Genomic DNA, 21,099 nt, shown 5'->3' with positions numbered 1-21,099 from the left:
CCACATTTGTGCATGAAGTGTCCCTTCGCAGCCAGAAACCCTGTGGTGTTTTTGGCTCTGATTTGGATAGTAACTTGCTTATTTTCAAAGTTAACGGCAGAAAGCAAAGAAAAATGTAGTCCATTAGTGTGTTACATTATGTAAAGAAAACAAGATTGCTAAATACTGCCATCCAGTATACTTTCCAAGCATTTATTTAAACCTTTTCATTTCAAATCAAACATCAAATCGAACAGCCCCCAAATATTAGAGTTAAAAAATGTGAAGTCTCTGGAGGTCTTAGAGGAACTCATCATTTATTTAAACTTTTTGTAAACCCATCCTCTATCCAGCAACCTCCAAGGGGAAACATATATATATATATATATATATATAAACATATACATATATATATACTTAACCACAGCAAATATTGAATATTGACTTTCCTGTTTTTCTTTCCTTTCCTCTCTCAAGGGAAGAAGTGTAGGGTTTAATTTTCTCTATGTGTGTATGAATATATGTGTGTGTGTTGCAAATTTAATAAGCAATGACAATAAAAGATGAGTAAAGTGGGTTGCTGGACAAAAATGGTATGTGATTCCACAACTTGCCTTGAGGTTCATCAGGTACAAGTTTTATAACAAAATCTGAGCAGAACATTTCAGTTTTGCGGAAGAGAGTGAAGCTAAATATATGCTGTCTGTCACTGGGCTATGAGGGATATGAAAGGGCTATTAAAGCAGATTTTTCCTCCTTAGGTAGAAGAGGCTCCTGCTAATATGCTATTTCAGAAGCAAAATTCAGTGCTAGTTTCTAGGCCAATAATTGCAAAAAATGTTTCATTTTTCTCAGTATAATTAATTTATGTACTCTTAGAATTAAAAGATATCTTCTCTCTGTTCATGTAAACCAAACAAATAATACCATATTTTCATGTACTAATTGTATATATAAAGGCAACTATGCACTTATTCTATGTATCTTTGTAAGTATATAGGAAATAGTTTAGACGAATACACCAGTAACTGGTAACAGTGCTTACCCTTGGGAACTGATTTGGATTTTCATTAGGGTGACCAACTGATAATTTAGAGTTCTTTGTAATGTTTGCTGTTTAATGCAAGTACATAAATGTGTCATTTGAGAAATCAAAAACTGGAATAATTTTAAAAGGAGTTTTTTTTTCCTAGGCTCTTGGCCTTAAATGGAATATCCAAGCTATTCAAGATAGCCTGTTATTTTTCACTCCAAGTTTTTGTTGATGGAGAGCTTCATTCCTAGTTACTCCTGTTTTCTAAACCCCAGGCTTGAATTTTTAAAAAATCTGTGAGTTAAATTAAGACAACCTATATATCTCTAAGCATTTCCCTTAATTCTGTTTTCTTTGTAAAAGATGAATATAAGTGAACAACGCAGGACATTGAGAAACATATCATGAAACGATAGGACGTTTCTGAAAATTTCTAAATAATAGCAACATTAAGGACAATTTCACCATCAGCATTCCTAATATCATGGATTTGTTTATGAAATAAAGTGTACGATCAAGAGTATCAACAATACTAGGGTTTTTTTTTGTATAAAGCATTTAGTTGTAAATATCATAATCCAAATGACTAGGTGTGCAGGTAAAAATGTAAAATGGATTGAGAGCTGTACAATGGGGTTTTCATTGTACATTTTATTGTACATTTCATCTGCACAGGTAGCAGTTACCTTCAGTAGTGGTATTTTTAAAACAGAAGAGACAACAACACAACAAAGTATTTATGTAATTGGGATAAAGCAGTCCCCAGGCTCTGCATGCAAGGACAGTCACACAGTTTTTCCTTTGCTAGGTTAAAGTAGGATTGGCTTAAGCCTCCACATGCCATGCTGGCCAGAAGTATAGTATTGCATACTTAGGGGGCCAGTCTGTTTCCAAGATTGTCTAAGAATTTAAGGGATTTTACAAACCCAGAGGAAGCCCTTCTCCAACAGTACTTCCAAGCACAGATGAGCCTTGTGTCAGCTTTGTGACTGGACTGCCATCAGTTAGTTTGCTTTTCACTGATGTGTTCTGCTGTTATTGAGCTCTGGCCTTCCTCCATCTGTTAGTCTATGCAGCAGAAAACTTTCCTGGGGCTCACTCAAGTGGTCCTTCAAAACAGGATGACTTCAATCCCTCAAAGGCAGGCATAGCTCTGGATATTCCTCAGTGCCTCCCCCTGCCCTCTCAATCACACACACACACACACAGTTCTTTTCCTTGGAGACTTGATTGCTGGGTACAATGCTCTTTCAGTGCACACTTATTGATAATCTCACAATTACCTGTCCATCTTTCCCTCCCATTAAATGAGAATATTTAATTTTTGCCTCAAGAGTTTAGTTGCTAGACCAGGCTTCATTTTTTTTTTTTAAAGAAATAAAAGAAATTAGGTCTTACTCTGCCATCCAGGCTGGAATACAGTGGCATGATCATATAGCTCACTGCAGCCCTGAAACTCATGGGCTCAAGTGATCTCATCTCAACCTCCCTATTAGCTAGGACTATAGGTGTGCAACACCATGCCTGGCTAATTAAATTTTTTTTTGTAGAGACAGGGTCTTGCTATGTTGCCCAGGCTGGTCTTGAACTCATGGCTTCAAGTGATCCTCCTGCCTCAGTCTCCAAAGCATTGGGATTACAGGCATGAACCACTGTGCCTAACATGATCCATTTTTTAAGAAAGGCCATTTCTGTTCTCTTGACTTATTCCCTAGCCTTCACTTATGTTTATGGGACAACTCTCAGTGCACCCCTAATTTCTATTTACTTGCTTGCCTGCTTTACTTACCATCCAGGCTCGCTGAATACCACTACCCTTGGTTGGTATGGCACAAAATGATATTTCTAATCTTTCTACTGTATTAGTAAACTGTTTAACATGATAAACTTCTTGAATTTCTAGTAATTGAGAATTTTAGGGTTTGGGTTCCATGAAACAAGTAATCACAAAGAAGACTATGTATTATTTAAATTTCATAACAAAATTTATGAAGAGTTTACTTATGTTGAAAAGGGTTATGTACAAAGGTAAAATTGAAAACCTTTCATCTTTTTGGGTATTAAATTTCTGATCATATTAGTAGAAAAAGAATCTCATTTATTGCAAACTTAATTTGTGCCACAAGGATCATTAGCTGTGATATCAGTGTGGCCACATCATAGTATGAGCAAATCATCACTTCCTTCTTTAGAAAAAAGTACAACAGTATAAAAATATGTTGGAAAAACAAAGGCTGTAGTTTTGGTTTACATATTCTAACAAGTTAAACCTGAAATATCGATATAATCTTAGAAACTCTAGTATGATAACCTCACAATAATTAAACATATTAAGGAGCAACAACTTTATATATATTTTGTAAATAACTTCTCCCAAGTTATATCAACACAGATTTATCAAAAGGATATTAGCATCAACTTAAACTTGATAATATTGCCCCTTTGCTGGTAGCTCTGTTTAGCTGACTGGGGTTTGTCTGGATAGCAATTAAGGCTCTCAGTTTAGAAAGCCTGATAAGGTTACCATCATTTCTAATAGCTATATTGTTTGGGCCATTGTTTTTGCCTATAGATAGTAATCCTCTTGCAAGGCTTAAACATTAATCTAATCTTCCCTTTATGCAGCCTCTAGGTCATCTTAGGTTGAATCTGTACTCATAATACTTTATTTGTGTCACAATATCCTATGACCCAAATCTTTCTTGAAAAGCTGCAAAATCCAAGAAATGGGGAAAATGGCAATATTATTAGTTGGCAATGGCACACATTTTCCTTTACAGAACTTTGAATTATGCCTTTTTAGCAGATTTATGATCACGCAGGGCACTGAGTCTTGCACAGCTGTGGTTTAACCTCAAGTACTTTTGTCACATTTTGTTTTTTTTTATAAAATGTGTTTCAATTCTGACATTTAGAAGATTGCAGCTTTGAAGAATTTGTGTGGACCTTCTGCAAGCATTTTATTTTGCTAATGAACTAAAATTGATCTCTGTAATTGAAAGATAATGATACTATTTGAGTGTAATGACTAAATACCAAGTGAAATTTTGCACAGATGAAATTCTACACAACCCTGGATATAATATGACTGCTTTATGTTAATTGTGAAATCACATTGTATAGCTTCTCTAAATTGTTTAATTACTAAAGTATAATAATAGATGAAATGAGCAGTGGGAAGGATGATAGACTGGACGCCTGCAGACTTGAGTTCCAATCTGGACATGTGAAACCTTGAGCAAGTCCCTTAATTTCCTTGGGACTCAGTTTTTACCTATAGACTTGGTAGAACAAGGTTATTTAAGGTCTCTTGCAGCTCTTCCATCTTTATGAATCTGAATCCCACCAAATTGATTTTTCATAGTCAGTAAAAAATCTGAACAAAGCTGAACTGTGAAATTTTTGACAAGCATTAACAGGATTGAACATGTTTTAGACGCTCAGTGTTCTGTAGGAGAAAAGAACAGTTAAGAACTACCCCCATCCCTAACCCACCCTATACATAACTGGTGTTTCTTTAAATTTGAAACTGCAATTTCCAGTTACTCTAAACTGGTTTTGTACTTCTTGTGGTAAGGACAGATAGAGAATGCTCCAACCTATCATTTCACAGGGCATGTTGCACTTTATAAACAGTAACGAACAGTGGGTTGGGTGGGAGATCTGGATCAGTTTGGGTGGTGTATAGTCCAGACTACACTAGATTTATCTTCGATACAGGCTCACAAATCTTACTGAGATTTTTTTCCCCCTGGGGAGTAAGAAAATAAGAGATGCAGAAAAACCCAACTGCTGGCAATACCAGGGAACCTGCTTTATTAAATTTTCCCCAGGGAGGTTCATTATTAAGCTCTGAAATATAAAATCTTACTATAAATGGCAGATGGGGACTTGTACTCTCTTTATTTGTAATATGCATATTTTACTAATTTCCTACTAAAATCAAACTTACCGATTCTCTCCCTCTCTCTCTCTCTCTCTCACACACACACACACACACACACACACACACACACACTTCTCTGTAGAATTTTGTGGGTGGACACGGAATATTAAATTGTACAGAGAATGTTCACATTCTCCTTGAAACAAAGATTAATGGAGGTTCTTACGTACCATTTGTATTGCCTTTGCATTTCTAGAGTCTATGTAAGATACCCGTGATGAAAACATCAGAGAGAAGATTTTAGAAACAGGTAAAACAGAGTTGCTGTTTTACCTGTTTACCAGAAAATATCTAGCTTTATTTTTACTGAGGGATAAAAATACTTTATGCACATACATTTGAAATGAAAAGGTATAAATAAAAATGCAGTTGTAGAACAGAAAACCTGAAATAATAGATTATAATTTATTTGCTTTAGTATTCACAGGAGGTTAGTTTTTAGCTGTTTACATTAATATTACGTTTTTTTTTGTCAGGTAACCTCTGAGTCACAATATTTGATCACACTTAACACTGTTTTTAAAGGACAGAATTTAGGGTTTTTTTTTTGTTTGTTTTTAATAAATAGTATTCTATTGTCCTGAAAAAAGAATGATGTTATCATAGGCTTTTGTTCTGAACAAACTAATTCCCTGTTTGCCACTCATAATTTTTTAAAAATTATGATTAAAACACTAAATAATTCAGTTTAATTTACACAGAGCGAAATACATTTTTTTTGCTATAATTCAGAAATGTCAAGCCATTAAAGGGTTTTCGTAGGCAGAACCTGAAAAAGAAATGAGAAAGGAAGCGCCTAGAATGGCAAAAGATGTTGGGATTAGGAGGCTATTAATGGAGGGCCTAGAAGAAATAACAGTGAACACAAAATGTTGGTTTAGGCATGAAGTAAGCCCAGGAACACACTGGATGCACCTGCAATCACAGCAAAACCTATGTTAGTTTTTCTGTGATTGGGTTGGCTTTTCTGAAAAACAGGGATAATGGTAGAAAAATAAGTATAAGGCAAAAGCACAGTAAAATCTGCTTGGAAACCATTTATATTTGAAAATTATTTTTAAATGAAAAGATTATTTTCTGTGAAAGTTTAAATAATATATTGAATCAGATTTTAATGTAATAACTTAGCAAAAAAAACCCAAAACAGGGATGTTACTTAGGGGAAGTCACCCTTAATGTTCAGGAAAAATGCCATTTAATTGATAGCATCAATTGAGATCAAGCCATAATATGAAATCAAATTTTTCTAGAAAACTGACAAAAGATAATTTACCTTAAAGTCTTATGTAAAAAGAAGTAATTATACTGTACTTCAATAAAAATGGGAGAAAAAACACAAGAACATCAAGGTTTATGTATATAATTAAAATCTTTTTTCACCATCAGTCATTTTCATTTTCCAAATTGATACTATTTTTAAAAAATTAAATATGTATATATATATTTGTATTTTGACGATCATCTTCATCACGGTCATTCTTTGAACCAGGAAAAAATGAAATTATATTACAACTGTGCGACCAGACTGCTGAACAGGTTTGTTGAATTCTGTGTTGTGGGCTTAAGAACCAGCACGTGCCCTGGCGAAGTTCCTCTTGAACATGCTCCTGTTCTTCTGAGTCGGTGATTCAGGCACGGATGAGTTCAAGTTCGTTTACACAGGGGCTCTTTCTTTCTGGCTCTTAGTATGTAAATTTGTGAATACTATATAGACAATGATGAATGGTACCTTGATTAATTAAGTCTGTGAATGCTATTTTATTTTAGAGACTAAAAGGGTAAACTTCTATGTTGTCTAAATGTTGTTGGCTAGTGGGGGAAGGGACCAGAAAACAAGGCCATCTTTCCTATATTTGGCTTCTAACTACACTCTGTTATGATTTAAAAAAACTGAAGCTCAGACATTATTTTATTTTTAGTGCCCCCAGATGCCTTAATCAGGGTGCCTTTTTGTTATTGTTTTTCTGCAAACTTCCAGACTTTTCATAATGTATTACCCGAACCCTCTATTAGAGAGATGACAACAAAGTAATGTGGCAAGTATTAGCCTGAGTTTGCTTTCTTCATCAAGAGAAAAGCTATTAGAAATAAAATGCCAGCAGTTTTTTCAAAAACTGGTTTAGAGACCGATAGTTCTCAAAGCATGGTCCCTGGACAAGCAAGCATAACATTGCCTAGAACTTGATAAAAATGCAAATCAGTAGGGCCTACTGAAGCCCTACGGAATCAGGAACCCTGGAAATATGCTCAGCAATCTGTGTTTTTACAGGCCCTCTGGGCTTGTGAGCTCAAGTTTGGGAAAGGATGTCTAGAGAGCAGGGTTCTTGTTTCAGTTCTGCCATTTTCTAACCATTAGGTCTTGGTAAATTCACTTAACTTTTCTGAACCTTTGGTTCTCCCATCCATAAAGTGGGAGATGATCAACAATGGCTCTTCCAGTTCTAACATTCTGTAAATCTGGGATTCTAATTACTTGGTGAAAGAAAATTCATTAGGGAAAAACAATGCCTAGACATCTGGCTACAGTGATAAATCTGATATTGCTCAGTTATATACAACTTCCACATGTTTAATGTACAGTACAGTGATCCTTCTCAATCCTCATTAATTCTGTGTCTTCCTTGTAGCTGTTACTGTAAAATAAAATGAGCCTGCTAAATAACTCAAGACCACTTCAATTGCAAATAAGTAGAATAGATAACAGTGATCTTACTTTTAATTGCTGAAGATGATATAAAGCATCAGTGATATTATAAAGTGTAATTCAAAAGTACACAACTTTCATTAGAAGACCTTCCTCCCAAATTCATCATAAGCCGAAATAATGCTCAGAAAGTATGTAATTAAGTCTATAAGCAGTAATAGAGTGATGTGACCCCTTTTTACATTCAGTAACATATTTAAAGTTAAAAAATGATAAACATAAATTTTACTAAAGATCTGCTGAAACACACTTCTAGTACTCTGATGGAGATTAGTTGGCTCAAATGGCCAAAGGGCAAATCTTTTACTGTAAGATTTTCTATTCTCCTAAAAGTAACTTTCGAAGTGCAACATGTTTTTCAATTCATTCAGAGGTATGTTACATGGTTTGGGAAGCTATAGCTTTACTGAAAAATGCTATATGTATGTTTTTGTTAGTATTAGATGTGAACATGAATATTTAGATCATATAAACTGGGATGCAGGTCTGCTCTAAGTGGCTATGAACCCTGGGTACTGAGAAGTGCAGGTGCTGACATCTTGTGTATTTTTGTAATGTTAATACTGCAGACAAATTAACCTTCTTCATCCCATTATTGTACTAATCTGAGTCATTATTTAAATGTAAAAAACATGCCAATTTTTAAAAGACACACCAATGATAAATCTGCTTTGACTAATGTGAAGTAACTGGACAGAAGATTCCTGATGTTAAAGAGAAAAATGCACACACAACACACCACACACATGTGACATGGGTATGATCTGACTTTCCTTGTCTGGGTCTGTTCATAATTTCATTCAATAGAGTTGAATACAATATACACTTGGTTGCTTTGTTTAAAAGCCTCTAGCCGTGTATGTTCTTGCTTTTTTCTTATACAATAGAATGCTAGTAATTGTAAGCTTGTTTATGATATTGTGGAAGCAATATGAATATGATAGTTTTTATTATTTTTGTAGCTTATATTCTTGGTTTATATAAATCAGGCAGCTATTTTAAAAAATATATTTGCAAGTGAGGTCTTGAAGAAGCTTCATATAAAATTATATGATGCATTTCAATTGAGGGTGACTCTTCAGTATTTTGAAGACAGTTATCATGTACTGTCACTTATAATAAATAATTGCAAATTGTTTTCTTTTGGCTTTAGGTGGACACCGAAATTCTTTGCCTGAAAACCTTTTAAAAATATGAAAACAAGACAAAAAATGGCTGGGTTTTCTTTTAGAGTGGCAATGTCATTTGTCCAGAAGGGGGAGCTCTCAGTCCGCATGCAGCGGAGCAAGGCAGACAGTCTGGTATCTTATCTGCTGCTTGGGAAATTGTCTGACAGGAAAATATCAACACAAACCATGCGATTTGCCGCTGGAGCACGCTGGACCTCATCTGCTTAAAAAGATGCACGGATATAGTCATCACAGTTCATAATTTAATAAACTGCTAAAAAAACCACACATTTTCATTTTAGCGACTTTGGTCTCACAACTAAATTCACATTGCTACAAAGACATTTGAATTTTGCACTAATATGTCATGAGCACTGCACCCATTGCAAATTAATGAGTCTCTGAATAGCACTGTGCATTTGTCATTTGAATTTATGCTAATGCAGTGAGGTCTCCTGGTGATGCTGATAGTCCATAGCAGCTGCTTGAACCACAAAATATATCGGCACTTCCCTTCTACTTTATATTGCTACCTCCTTTTTTGGCTTTTCTGGCCTGTCACTTAGGCAGAAATTCTGTAACTGGTTATTGATAGGGCTGCTAATTATCTGTGACTTTACACTATTGGCCTAACCCCCAACACTGAGAAGAAGTAATGGATCAGTGTTGAGAGAATTATGTACATCACATAGAGACAGTCTCAGACCAGGAGGTCAGGAGGAGTTCACTGAGAACCAATGGTATTTATAAAGGATGTTATATGTAAATTGGCAATATTTTTTCAGTGATATCATGTCATTTATATCAATAAATCAATCTAAGAAAGTGACTGTAATTTTTGTAACCGTAATGAACAGCATTTATATGTGTGTGCAAAAATAGAAGGGGGTCCTTTCATTTTTTTCCTTTTCTAGTCACATTGCAATCTGAAAAAATGATCATCAGGGATGCAGAGTCTTCATTATGGTTCTACAAACTGCCTGTTGGTCAAAGAGATGGGGTAACAAAGAATCCAGTGATGGGATTATTGGAGTAAGGGGAGGGAGAAGCGCAAATAACTATTTTTATGGGACAAGTTCATGACAAAGGGGTCCCAGTGTCTGTTGTTGTTTTCTTTCCCAAGTCTTAATTGTGAAATCAAATTTTTTTCTTAGATTAGTGCTTCCATTTGACATGCTTCTAGAAGTAAGAATGAGGTATGTAGAATTTATCCTAATGGATTCAGGAAATCAAATTTGGTGTTTAGAAATAAGGCAAAAATTAAGCAGAAAATTAAAAGCTAAAAACAAAAGTATACATCTGGATTATACATCTTATAGAAAACTGTTCCTGATTTTAAGAAATGCTTTTTCACCTAGGGCCAAATTTTTTTCTTTCAAATAAAAAATTTTAAAAGAGATAAACAAATATACATTCTGGTTAAAATGTAGCATGGTTAGCATTAATTTCCTAGGTTGTAAATGAAGCGGAGAAAAGAAAGAGTCAATTCCTGAAATACTTTGAGGAGAAAAACACATTCCAAGACTGATGTGTATAATTGTTAGTGATGTCAGGAAGTACAGAGTGTAAAAGTCAAAATGACCTGTTTATCTCCAGTAGTGCCCAAGAGCAAAAAGACTCATTTCTGAACAATGAAACTCACAAAAGAAAGAGGATTTTTTATCCTGACTCTACAGCCTAGTAAGCTGCTCAGAGCACAAGCAGAAGATGCAAACATTCCTTTTTATCTCTACCTGTTGGCCTCAACCTAAGGGTTAAAGGGCCACTCTAGAGAAAGAAACTTGACTGGGAAGGCAGCAAATAGATTCTTTACTACAGCTCCTCCGTTTTCCATCAAGGAGAGGAGACGTTTTCACTCTTCTTGGAAAAACTTTGAAATGTAAACTGTTTCGATTGATGGCTCCTTCTGGCCCTGGCAACTCTTTTTGGTAGCTGGTGCTCTTTCTGTAATACTTGTTAAAAACGACTCCGTAGCAAAGATGTTGTTTTTTATATGATTTTTTTTTAAGTCAGCGCATGTGTGCGTACAGACAGGCTCTCATCTTGCACGGCGGAGACTGGCAGGTGAACACCTACTCCTGTTGCCCTTATTCATTTGCAATACTTTATAAGATTAGTCTCTTTGAAAGCTGTTTTCAGTCTAAACTGTCAATCCTCTTCGAATGTGGTCCCTCTCACTGTGAATGACTTCTTAGAACTTGTGAGAACACTGTGGCCTGAAAGTCCCTTCCTAGCCCAGAGAGTCCTCCATGCGTCACTGATAACTTGCCCCTAAACTTTCTACAGTAAGGTTGCCTGGGGACAGCTTTAAAGAACCAGATACGCAGCTAAGGTATCATATGTTTAGAGCAGTCTTTATGTACACAATTTCTGCCACTACCCACATGATTTTAATCATACTATCTTAGGGTAGAAATTTCATTTTCATTCAGTTATCTATGAAATGACCTTGTGTACATAATTTTTAATATTCTTATAGTATTCTTAAGCTACATCCATTTGGAAAGAATTAAGGTGGTGAAATTGATCAATCTGCTTAAACCAATTGATTTAGATTGTGAAATCAGTCAAACTGCATAAACCAGTGTGAAAAATACCCATTTTAGTCTAAATGTTGATTGCTTATATTGATCTGCTAGACTTACTGTGGTTAAATTATTTCTTTGTTCTGTGCTAGTCAGGTTCATGAGTTATGTGTTCTTATTTGTTGCGGACTTATTTTTCTTTGTCTGATCATATTGAATGCATTATGCTACTCTTCTCTGTTTTGCTACTGTTGCTTTCCTGAAGGGGTATATTCCCTTGTATGCACCATGATGAGGAAAGCTCCGTGGTGACCTGTTTCCCAGTGAAGCCACCTTTTCCACTCTTAGTTCTCCCACTTGCCAGCTACTGTATCCACTCACAGCACACTCTGAGATAGTGAGGCTGCAAATCAATAAAGATTTGACTTATTAAGGGTTAAGCCAGGCACTGATTAAGTGTATGATCTTAAGTTCAAGAAGCCACACTGGCTGTAGTCCTCTTCAGCCAAATGGCTGCTCAGGTGCTTAGACGTAACTCTTTCCCTCCATTCCTATACATATACATGCATACATACGTATATATATATATATATATATATACACACACACACACACACACACACACACACACACACACGCACATATATACACATTCTCTCATATATTCTCATATATAAGAGTGTGTATATATATATATGATGGAATGTGTATATATGTATATATGCGCATATATATACATATATACACATTCCCTCATATATATGCACATATATATACATATAATGTGTATATATGTATATACATGTGTATATATACATCTACATACACAAAGTTAGACTGGAATTATACTCTGTTATTTTTAGTTTTTAAAATTACAGATAAATAAGAAACACTTGAGTAAAGTTATCAGAGAAGATTCTCAACACATGTTCAAATTATTTGCTGAAATATAGGTAAAGTTAATCCCCCCAAGTCAATATGAATTATTTAATTTCCCTCTATGGCACTAAAAATTTAAGTAACGATTTTATTTTATCTTAACATACAAGTACATATGTTCTTGGTGCGCTGTGATTCCTGTGAAGTATGTACAAGCCTTCCACCAAGGTCTCTGCCTTCAAGACACTTACAATCAAGTATAAAAACAACATCAGAAATAATATGAGGAATTAATATAACAATACATAAGTATAAAAAGTATAAACTATAAAATTTTTTGTATTAAAATGAAAAGCACTAGATAGTATTTACCTTTCAGAACTATATTCTTGATTTCTTATATACAATTCTTATATTTCTTTTTCAGAATATGTGAAAAACATTTAAATCAGAAAGTAAATGACAGGATGATTTGCAAGGTCAGTGCCTAGGTTCCTTTCCCCCACTCCTTTTTTCTTCTCCCTGGTCCTATCAGGGACTTAAGAGCTATCCTGAGATCCTATTTCCATTTCCAAGGCTAATGTTTGGGCCAAGTAGAAACCGAATGATGAGACCTTTTTGTAGACTCATGTGGAAGTCCTAGAATTACTGGCCTTTTTCAAGAAGTTTTCAGTACATTCCTGCCCTTACAAAACTTTTTTTCTTTATTACAATGAACTTAAGTTCACTGGAGAGAATTATGAAAATTCACTCTCAATAAGGCCTTAATATTAATTTGTAAGGTGAAAATAATTTATAAAAATTCATAAAGAATTAGATAATATCTAAGAATACTTCTAAGTAAAATTTCTCTTTTCTATGCTTCCAAATGATAGCATCATGAAGTTCCAATTTTGACTAATTTGGGGCCCTGGAGCATAATGCACAGATTTAAAAAATTCCTGAAAATGTTTAAATTGAAATATGTTTTGAGTTTGATTACAAAATTGTGGAAAGAAAAAAGTAATTCAACCCAGTAAGTTTTTTTTTTTTTTTTAGACAGAATCTCGCTCTATCACCCAGGCTAGGGTGCAGTGGTGCAATCTTGGCTCACTGCAACCTCTGCCTCCCGAGTTCAAATGATTCTCCTGCCTCAGCCTCCTGAGTAGGTGGGATAACAGGTCCCCGCCACCATGCCTGGCTAATTTTTGTATTTTTAGTAGAGACGGGGTTTCACCATGTTGGCCAGGCTGGTCTTGAGCTCCTGACTTTAAGTGATCCACCTGCCAAGGCCGCCCAAAGTGCTGGGATTACAGGCATGAACCACCATGCCTGGCCCCAGTAAGATTTTTATTTTAGGATGTGAAGACATAGGTAAGGAAGAGGCAATGGGGGTGAGGTGAGAGAGTGTGTGAATGAGAAATAATTTAGGAAGCAGAAGGGCGTAGAAGAAGGAGGGAAGTCGAGTATTTGAATCACTTCTCTTACGAGCCTCAATAAGTCTCTGGTATCATCTTCTAAGTTCTTTAACTGAGTTCTCTTTTACCGAATCACTCACCTTTCTGCTTCTTTCTGTTACAGACACAGGGATGTAAAATTAAAAAGCCTCTCGAGCTCCAAAGGTACAGAATGAGTTTGCACCATTCCAATTATGCATACTGTATGAGAAGAAAAGACATTTTAAAATCGTTGCACTTATGAGTGCACTGACAGAGAAATTATTGAAGTGTGGAAATTTGAGATTATCATCTAGCATTTATTTAAGGTTACTTGAGAGAGCTTTTAAAATCATAAATGAGAAAGGAAAATACTAAAATACTAAGAATATTATTTCAATAATGTCTGCATAATGTAATGATAGAACATTTATAGGGCCTGGTCTAATTCATATGGTGACATTCGAGTAAATTTTGACACTTTTTTTTTTTAAACCTAGAAGTGTTGCATATGAACTAAAACCCTGTAAGAGAATGCAACTGATCTTGGAGATATGGTCCATCACCCTTAATTTTTGGTTAGATGACTAGCAAACTTCAAATTCACAATCCTGGAAAGCCCATGCCACATCTCTCCCCTCCCCATGTTCCCTGTAGGGCCCAAATTAAGGGTATGGTCACAGCAGGGCAGGCACTTAGGAAGTACTTGCCAAGCAATTTCTTTTGCTAAAATATGATAATCGGCTTAGTAGGACTTGGTAGCTTAAAAAATTATAAACAGTATTGAAAAGATGTCTACATTTCTGCATCTTTCAAAAAAAAAGCCTTTAGAAATCTTATCTGGCACTATGAAAATAGACTCCACAGAAGATTCTTCTCCTTCCTCCTCCCACTCCCCAATTTAAATCAACTAATTAAGAAAGACTGTAACTAGAAGGGAATGATTAACTCATTAACTTAATCATTGTCATACTTGTGAATATGGACTTGTACCAGAGTTAAGAGGTTAATTAATTCAAATATATTGTCAAACTGCCTATGGTTTTCAAAGAGGCAAATTTTATATTCTATAGTTTATATGCTTAGAAGGCAGAACTCAGCTGTGATAAAGTTTGACATCAAAATAAGTTAGTGAAATTGTGCAGCAAATGGTAAGTAGAAAATAAAAATTCCTCTTTATTGCTGTTGCCAACATCCCTGCTACCTTCAATGCCACTGCCATCCATACTACTATTATCTTCACGTAGATTTTTATTTTTCATCTGGGTAGCTGGGAATTGACTTGCTTTGGCATAGGCTGTCTACCCAGAGGGAGTTCTCTAGAATTCTGTCTTTGGCCATCTTTTCTTTTTACTATTAATGTTTTCCAGCAATTTTATCTGTCTGTTACTTGCTAAGAACTAAAAATATGTCTTCAGCCCAGCTCTCTCAACCTGTTACCTACGCTGTTATCCATCAAATATAGCAGGCACCATGCTAGATACAGAGGATCCAGTGGTCAACAGAACAGGCGTAGCCCCCATCTTGGTGGCGCTTACAACCTGGGGAGAGGCAGTTAATAAATAACAGAAATAATGCATTGTGATTAGTATTCAGCATAGCACAGGAGACGGTGAGAGATTACCACTTCTCATTATGGGACTTGATTTAGATCAAGAAACTCCTCTGGGGAAGTAGCAATAATGTTAGAACCCAAAGAATGAGCAGGGGTAACCTGATGAAACGTTGGGAGGAAGAGAATTTCAGACAAAGACAATAGCACATGCAAATATTCTGAGACAGGAAAGAGTCTGGCAGCCTAAATAACTGAAAGAAGGCACATGTGCCTGCAGGATAGTGTGAGACAGTGGGTGATAGGAGATGAGGCTGGAGAGGAACACAGAAGAAGACTATGCAGAGACTTTGCTGGCCATAGGATTGAGGATTTTACTTTAAGAGAAATGCATATCCATCGATGGTTTTTAAGAAGGGGTGAAATAACCAGAGGTCTGTTTAAATAATATCATTCTAGCTCACTGTGAGAAATGTACTGGAGATGAGAGCATAATGGACACATGAGAACCCTGGTCTAGGTGAGAGAGGATAGAGCCTCAGAATAGAAGATGGAGATGGAGAGAATGACATAGATTCAAGATAGAATTTGGAGGTAGAATTAAAATTACTAGATCAGAGGCCTGTTGAACAATGTGTAGTAGGAAAGGGTTGGGAAAAAATCTCATTTGTCAGAGAATTCCCACCCCAGTAACTACCCACAAAATTACATAATAATTGGATGGGATAGAATATCTGGAGGGCTTCCACGTAGCGCAACTCCAGGGGGACCATCACAACCTTTCCACGCACTTGGTGTCTCCTGGAGTCATGCAATGCAATGGCATTGGGGATGTGGAATATTGAATTTCCTTTGTTTATAAAGATTATAAAGTAGGGTGTTGTATGGAAGACCCCCATGCATGCTTATGCTGGCTTGACTGGCTGGCTGGAGACTGGAACATATACACTGGCATACAATTATATCAGTCCCTAGGAAGGAGGCACCTTTTGCTAGTTTGTCTACCCCAAGCAGGACATTTAATAACTCACTCTCCAAAGAGTTGCTGTTGTGTAATAGGCATGCCTGAAGGAGAGATTATCTTCTATGTATGTGCTAGCAGTAGCTCTGTTTCCATTAGTCAGATATTTTACATGGGCCAAAAACACCTCATCAAACTACAAGATGATGACAGACAAGGCATTAGCAAAAATGTTTGTAAGTTGGGGATGACAGAAATCACAGGAAAATTATCTGTAGTACAAAGAAGGATCCAATTGTCAAGGTAGTAGATTCAGAGTCCAAAGCTCTGGCTATCTTTGAATATGGCAGTTATACTCACTTGAGTAAGTAGACTCTTTAAACAAGCCCCCAACATTATTACAGACTGCTTTCACCTAGGAATTCTGGATCACATGTCCCTAGTATCCACTCAAGTCTTCACAAGCGCTGATCATTTTTACCACCTGTAAGATACCTCTTCCTCTGCTAGCAGCAAATAAACCCAGAGAGATAAATAAAGAGAGAGAGAGAGAGAGAGAGAGAGAGAGGAAAGAGCAAACTCAGAGTATTTGTCTCTCTGCCTCCCCTTTCCCTTTGTTCTCCAAGTTTAAAAGGGATGAAAGTTTAGACACAAAATGCTGTTGTTTCTACTCTTCTACTCTTTTGATTTCTGAGTTTGGCCTCTGAGTAAAAAGCTAAGGAATCTTGATTAGATCTTTGAAATTCACAGTGATTCAAATCTCCAATTTAGGTCCCGACAATCCAAAGTAGAACAGAACATGTATTTTACCATGTAGTTGCTCCATCGACTGTCTTCATTACTGCAGTAAATGCACTACCATCAACCCAGTTGTCTAGGCCAGAAACCTGGACATTCTTACAGTCCCTCTGTCTGTTTCCCTCTCCTCATCTGACTGATCCCTTACACCTATGTCTTGAGTCCATCTTCTTTCCTCCATATCTATTGCCCAATGAAGACAAGTAAAATGATCTTTCTTAAATATATATATTTGATCACTTAATTCCCCTGCTTAAGATTCTTCAGTGATTTTTATTATCTTTAAATAAATCAAATTTATTGGCAAGTCAAAGTTTGTAATAATGACTGATGCCTCCCACCTACCTGTTTATTTTAATCTCCCATGATTCCCATTTCAGCTACCCTGAAATGCAGATTCTCATATATATTCTTCTCTTGCATGACTCTGGACTTTTCACATTATCTTCAATCTTCTGGATAACTCCAAGTCTTTCCTTGTGATTCAGATCAAACATTACCTTTCCTGATGAGTCTTCAAATAACCTCTGTCTTTGACTCAGTTACCACCTTCCTAGGTAGAGTTAGGGGCTTTTTCTTGCATTCTATGTTTGCCTCTACCAAAGAATTTTACTGTGTTGTCTCTATTGGATCATCTTTTTGTGTAGGTCGGGGATATAGAATAATGGTTAAGAATGGAGCATTGGAGTTGTGCAGATCTATTAATCAAATAGGTGATCAAGGCCAGCTTTGGTTTCTGTGTCTATTATGATAGATTATTGATTACAAAAATATAATGCAAGTAAAATGGATAACTGTGCCTGGTGCATAGTAAGTGTGTAATAAATGTTGTTTGCTGCTTTTCATGGTATTAGTAGAAATAGCTTTCTGTGTCCTTAGAAGATACTTAGTAAATGTTGGCTGGTTGAATAAATAAATCTATATCTAGAAAAGTTGGCTTGTAAAATCTTGAAGATAACTTGAATTTGTTATAAGAAAACTATCTGAAATTCAAAGCAGTTTGGATACCCAACCATTTTCACATTGTATTGCCAAGGACATGCATATGAAATATTCTGGATTTCATAACTTCCACTTGATTTTCAGGGTCAGGAAACAAAAACTGTGTTTATTTCATTTAAATTGTTGGTCTCACCTGACAATACTCTAATCACCATATAATTTTGAATAACATGAAGACTTTTGAAAAACATTTTTTAAGGTGTATGATTTTTCCTCTAGACTGAAGGTTCTATAACATGAATTCTCAAATATACAATTTCTACACAGAGCTTATTATTTATTTTTGTGTGTGAATCAGCTGATATTTGAAGGTTGTCTTTCTTTTCTCCTTAACTCTTCTTAACTCATACCTAATTAGAAAAGATTATATTTAGAAGAAAGTGTTTTCTTATCAATAGTCCGTATATCAATAATTAATGTAACTGTATCTTGTTTATGCACAGCAATACAAATCAATAAAGCAGGTTAGAGGTGTGAACAGCTCCTTAAATGTTTCTATATTGGAATTTTTAATGTGCTTTGATGTTATTCTTTGAATATTAAGTATAAATATTTGGATGTAGAAAAGACTTTGAGCCAAACAATGAAGTTATCCTGTAAACCACAGGACGGACTGCAAGTGTGCAAAGACCCATGCCTTGAGTGATTGAGACTTGGAAAACAGATTCTGAGGGTTGGAAGGGACCTTAGACATTGTTGAGTCCAGCTCTTTACAGAATGGGTGATTGTCTCTGAGAATCATGGGACTCTGTCCCATGGGTCATTGTCTATATCTTTTTGACTATTTCCAGTTTTGGATACCTCTAGCTCATGAGACCTCAGATAGCTCCAGTGAGCAGTTTAACTTCTTTTGAGCAAATCACTACTATCCCATAACTTCCATTTATTTGTCTCAGTTCTTCTCTGTGAATGTATTCAAAGTATTAATTTTACTTGATTATACATTGCTTAAAAAAATACTTTACATCAAAGATGGGTATTTTGTAGAGTAGAATATAACATTTCTACTAGAAATTCTGGAATTTCTAAGATAAAAATTAGGATTTCTTTGATGGGAGAAAATTAGGTAATTCTAAAAGTTTTCATCCCACTTCTTTGGGAGATAATTTTATTTTCTTAGGGAAGCAAACAATTGTTCAATTTGAGTGTGAAAAGATAGGCCCCAGGATGTGGTCTGGAAGGTGAGTCCTCTGCGTGAGGTGTTTTTTCTCAATAGCTTTCTAAGAGGGAGAGAGTAAAGGAGAAGTGATAGGGAAGAAAGAAAGCAGAAGGCAAGAGGTGAAGTGAGATGGCCAGAGGCCAGAGCCTGAAAAGAGAGTATGTACTATGGAAAAGAAATCTCTGTGAAGGTAATGGCAAAAGCGGTTAAGGAGTAGGGATATTGGGACTACATTTTTAGTTTTTTGTTTTTCATGATGCTTCCGTGTATTCCCGTCTACCTTCATACACATTCCACTTAACCTGCAGTTAAAATCTATTCCACACACTGCGTTTTATCTAGTAGTGCTTTTTATGATCAATATTTTGGAGAGAAATGATGAAAAAGAGGGCCACATTTTACAACTGGGTCAAGAGAGTGAGCAAGAGAGCAATAATACTACAGAGATCCTTGAAGATGTTTGGGGTTGGGGTTGACATTGGATTTTCTATTCACTATTTTGTGAGATGAGATCATTTTTAAAAATTTAAATCATTAAATGTAGGGGAGGGAAGCCCAAAAAGGGTGGAAGAGTTGAGGATACTTAGGCTATTAACACAGGGTCATGCTTTAAAAAACTGAAATCGTATGGTTGCAGCCAGCTACCCTTAATATATCTGGTTATGCTGTGGTGTGAAGTGGAGGGTTTATCTACCTGACTTCTCTTTACCGTTAATATTTTCTCTACTCTTCTGGTAGAAGCACTGCTTTTATTCTGTTGACATAACTCTTGAATATTGGTATTGAGAACCGACCTGAACGTAACACTCTAGATTTTTCTTTTTAACAAAACAATGCAGAGTGGGCAATTGTCTTGCTTATTTTTGACCCCTATACTTTAAATAACAAAGAATACAACCTAAATATTGCATTTTTTCTCAGCTCATGGCCTCATCTCTTGCATAGGTGTAAATCATTTGTTCAAATTGTAATCCCCTTGTTGGGTTGTTCTAACTAAAGAAGTCCTGTGGTGTAGGAGGAACACATTAAACTTGGAGTTGGGAGATCCTGCCTTGAATATTAGCTCTGCCAGTCATAACTATATAAATGATTGGGATGTCATATATTCTGAGTCTGAATTTCCTAATCTATAATATTCATATAAAAAATAATTCCCCTACATGCCTTGTGGACTTGTGGTGATTGTAAGATGTTATAATATGAAAATATCTTGTAAACTGTAATACTCCATACAAACATGAAATAATACCATTCTAATTATTTAATGAATATCTTTAAAGAAGTGGTGTGAGGCATAGGGGATAACAAAAGCACATTAGAGATGTTTTTGAAAACATTTATTTAAAATATAACCAGCTGGTCTTGGTATTATCCTCCTGGTGGTCATAACAGTAGTCTCCCTGGTGTGCCGTATTCTCTCAAATGTTTTAAATGTTTGCATGCAGCCATCCGTAGAGTGTCAAATGGTCTCTCTTTGACCAGAATAACAAAAACTCAAAGAAATGCATGACCATGAGGACACTGTGGCCTGTGAATGATTTATTGAGACTGGCAGCTCCCCAAAATGGTAACTGAGAGTAGCACTAAAGCCTTAAGTTTTGGTCACGTTCTCAGGTGAGAATGTGACCAAAAGAGAGGAATTGTTAAACAAAATTATGGGAGGCCATTTTTCTGGATTGAGCTCCTGCACTAGGCCCCAATAGACCAGACCAAACAAAAATGGAGTCTCTCATGCTAAATGCAGTGTAAACAAACTGAAACTTTAAGGAAGCATATAGATCTCAAAATACCATGTAGGTCTTCCTAAAAGCAGGAGACTCCATAATAATATGAAAGTCTCCTCCGTTCTAACACTTACAAGAAAGTAACCTGAAGTTACCAATCAGTTTTTTTCTATTGTTCTGTTTCCTTGTTCCCACCTTGCAAAACTGACAATTCTGTCTATTTCCCAGTGGGATTTGAGACCAAATAAGTCAA

At 35.9% G+C, this 21,099-nt stretch overlaps 1 long non-coding RNA gene across 1 annotated transcript in view; it reads left to right on the top strand.

The window, feature by feature from the left end:
* LINC01339 (long intergenic non-protein coding RNA 1339) overlaps positions 1-21,099 on the top strand; it is a 131,733-nt gene that overhangs the window by 15,690 nt on the left and 94,944 nt on the right. Inside the window, exons 2-3 of the long non-coding RNA NR_120601.1 lie at positions 12,663-12,714; positions 13,796-13,836. This is a non-coding gene — a long non-coding RNA (long intergenic non-protein coding RNA 1339). The remainder of the gene's footprint in view (positions 1-12,662; positions 12,715-13,795; positions 13,837-21,099) is intronic.

The sequence above is a fragment of the Homo sapiens genome, chromosome 5, assembly GCF_000001405.40.
Source record: "Homo sapiens chromosome 5, GRCh38.p14 Primary Assembly".
Taxonomy (NCBI): Eukaryota; Metazoa; Chordata; class Mammalia; order Primates; family Hominidae; genus Homo; species Homo sapiens.
Note: the sequence above shows the minus strand (reverse complement) of the source record. Positions and strands in the feature narration are given on the sequence as shown.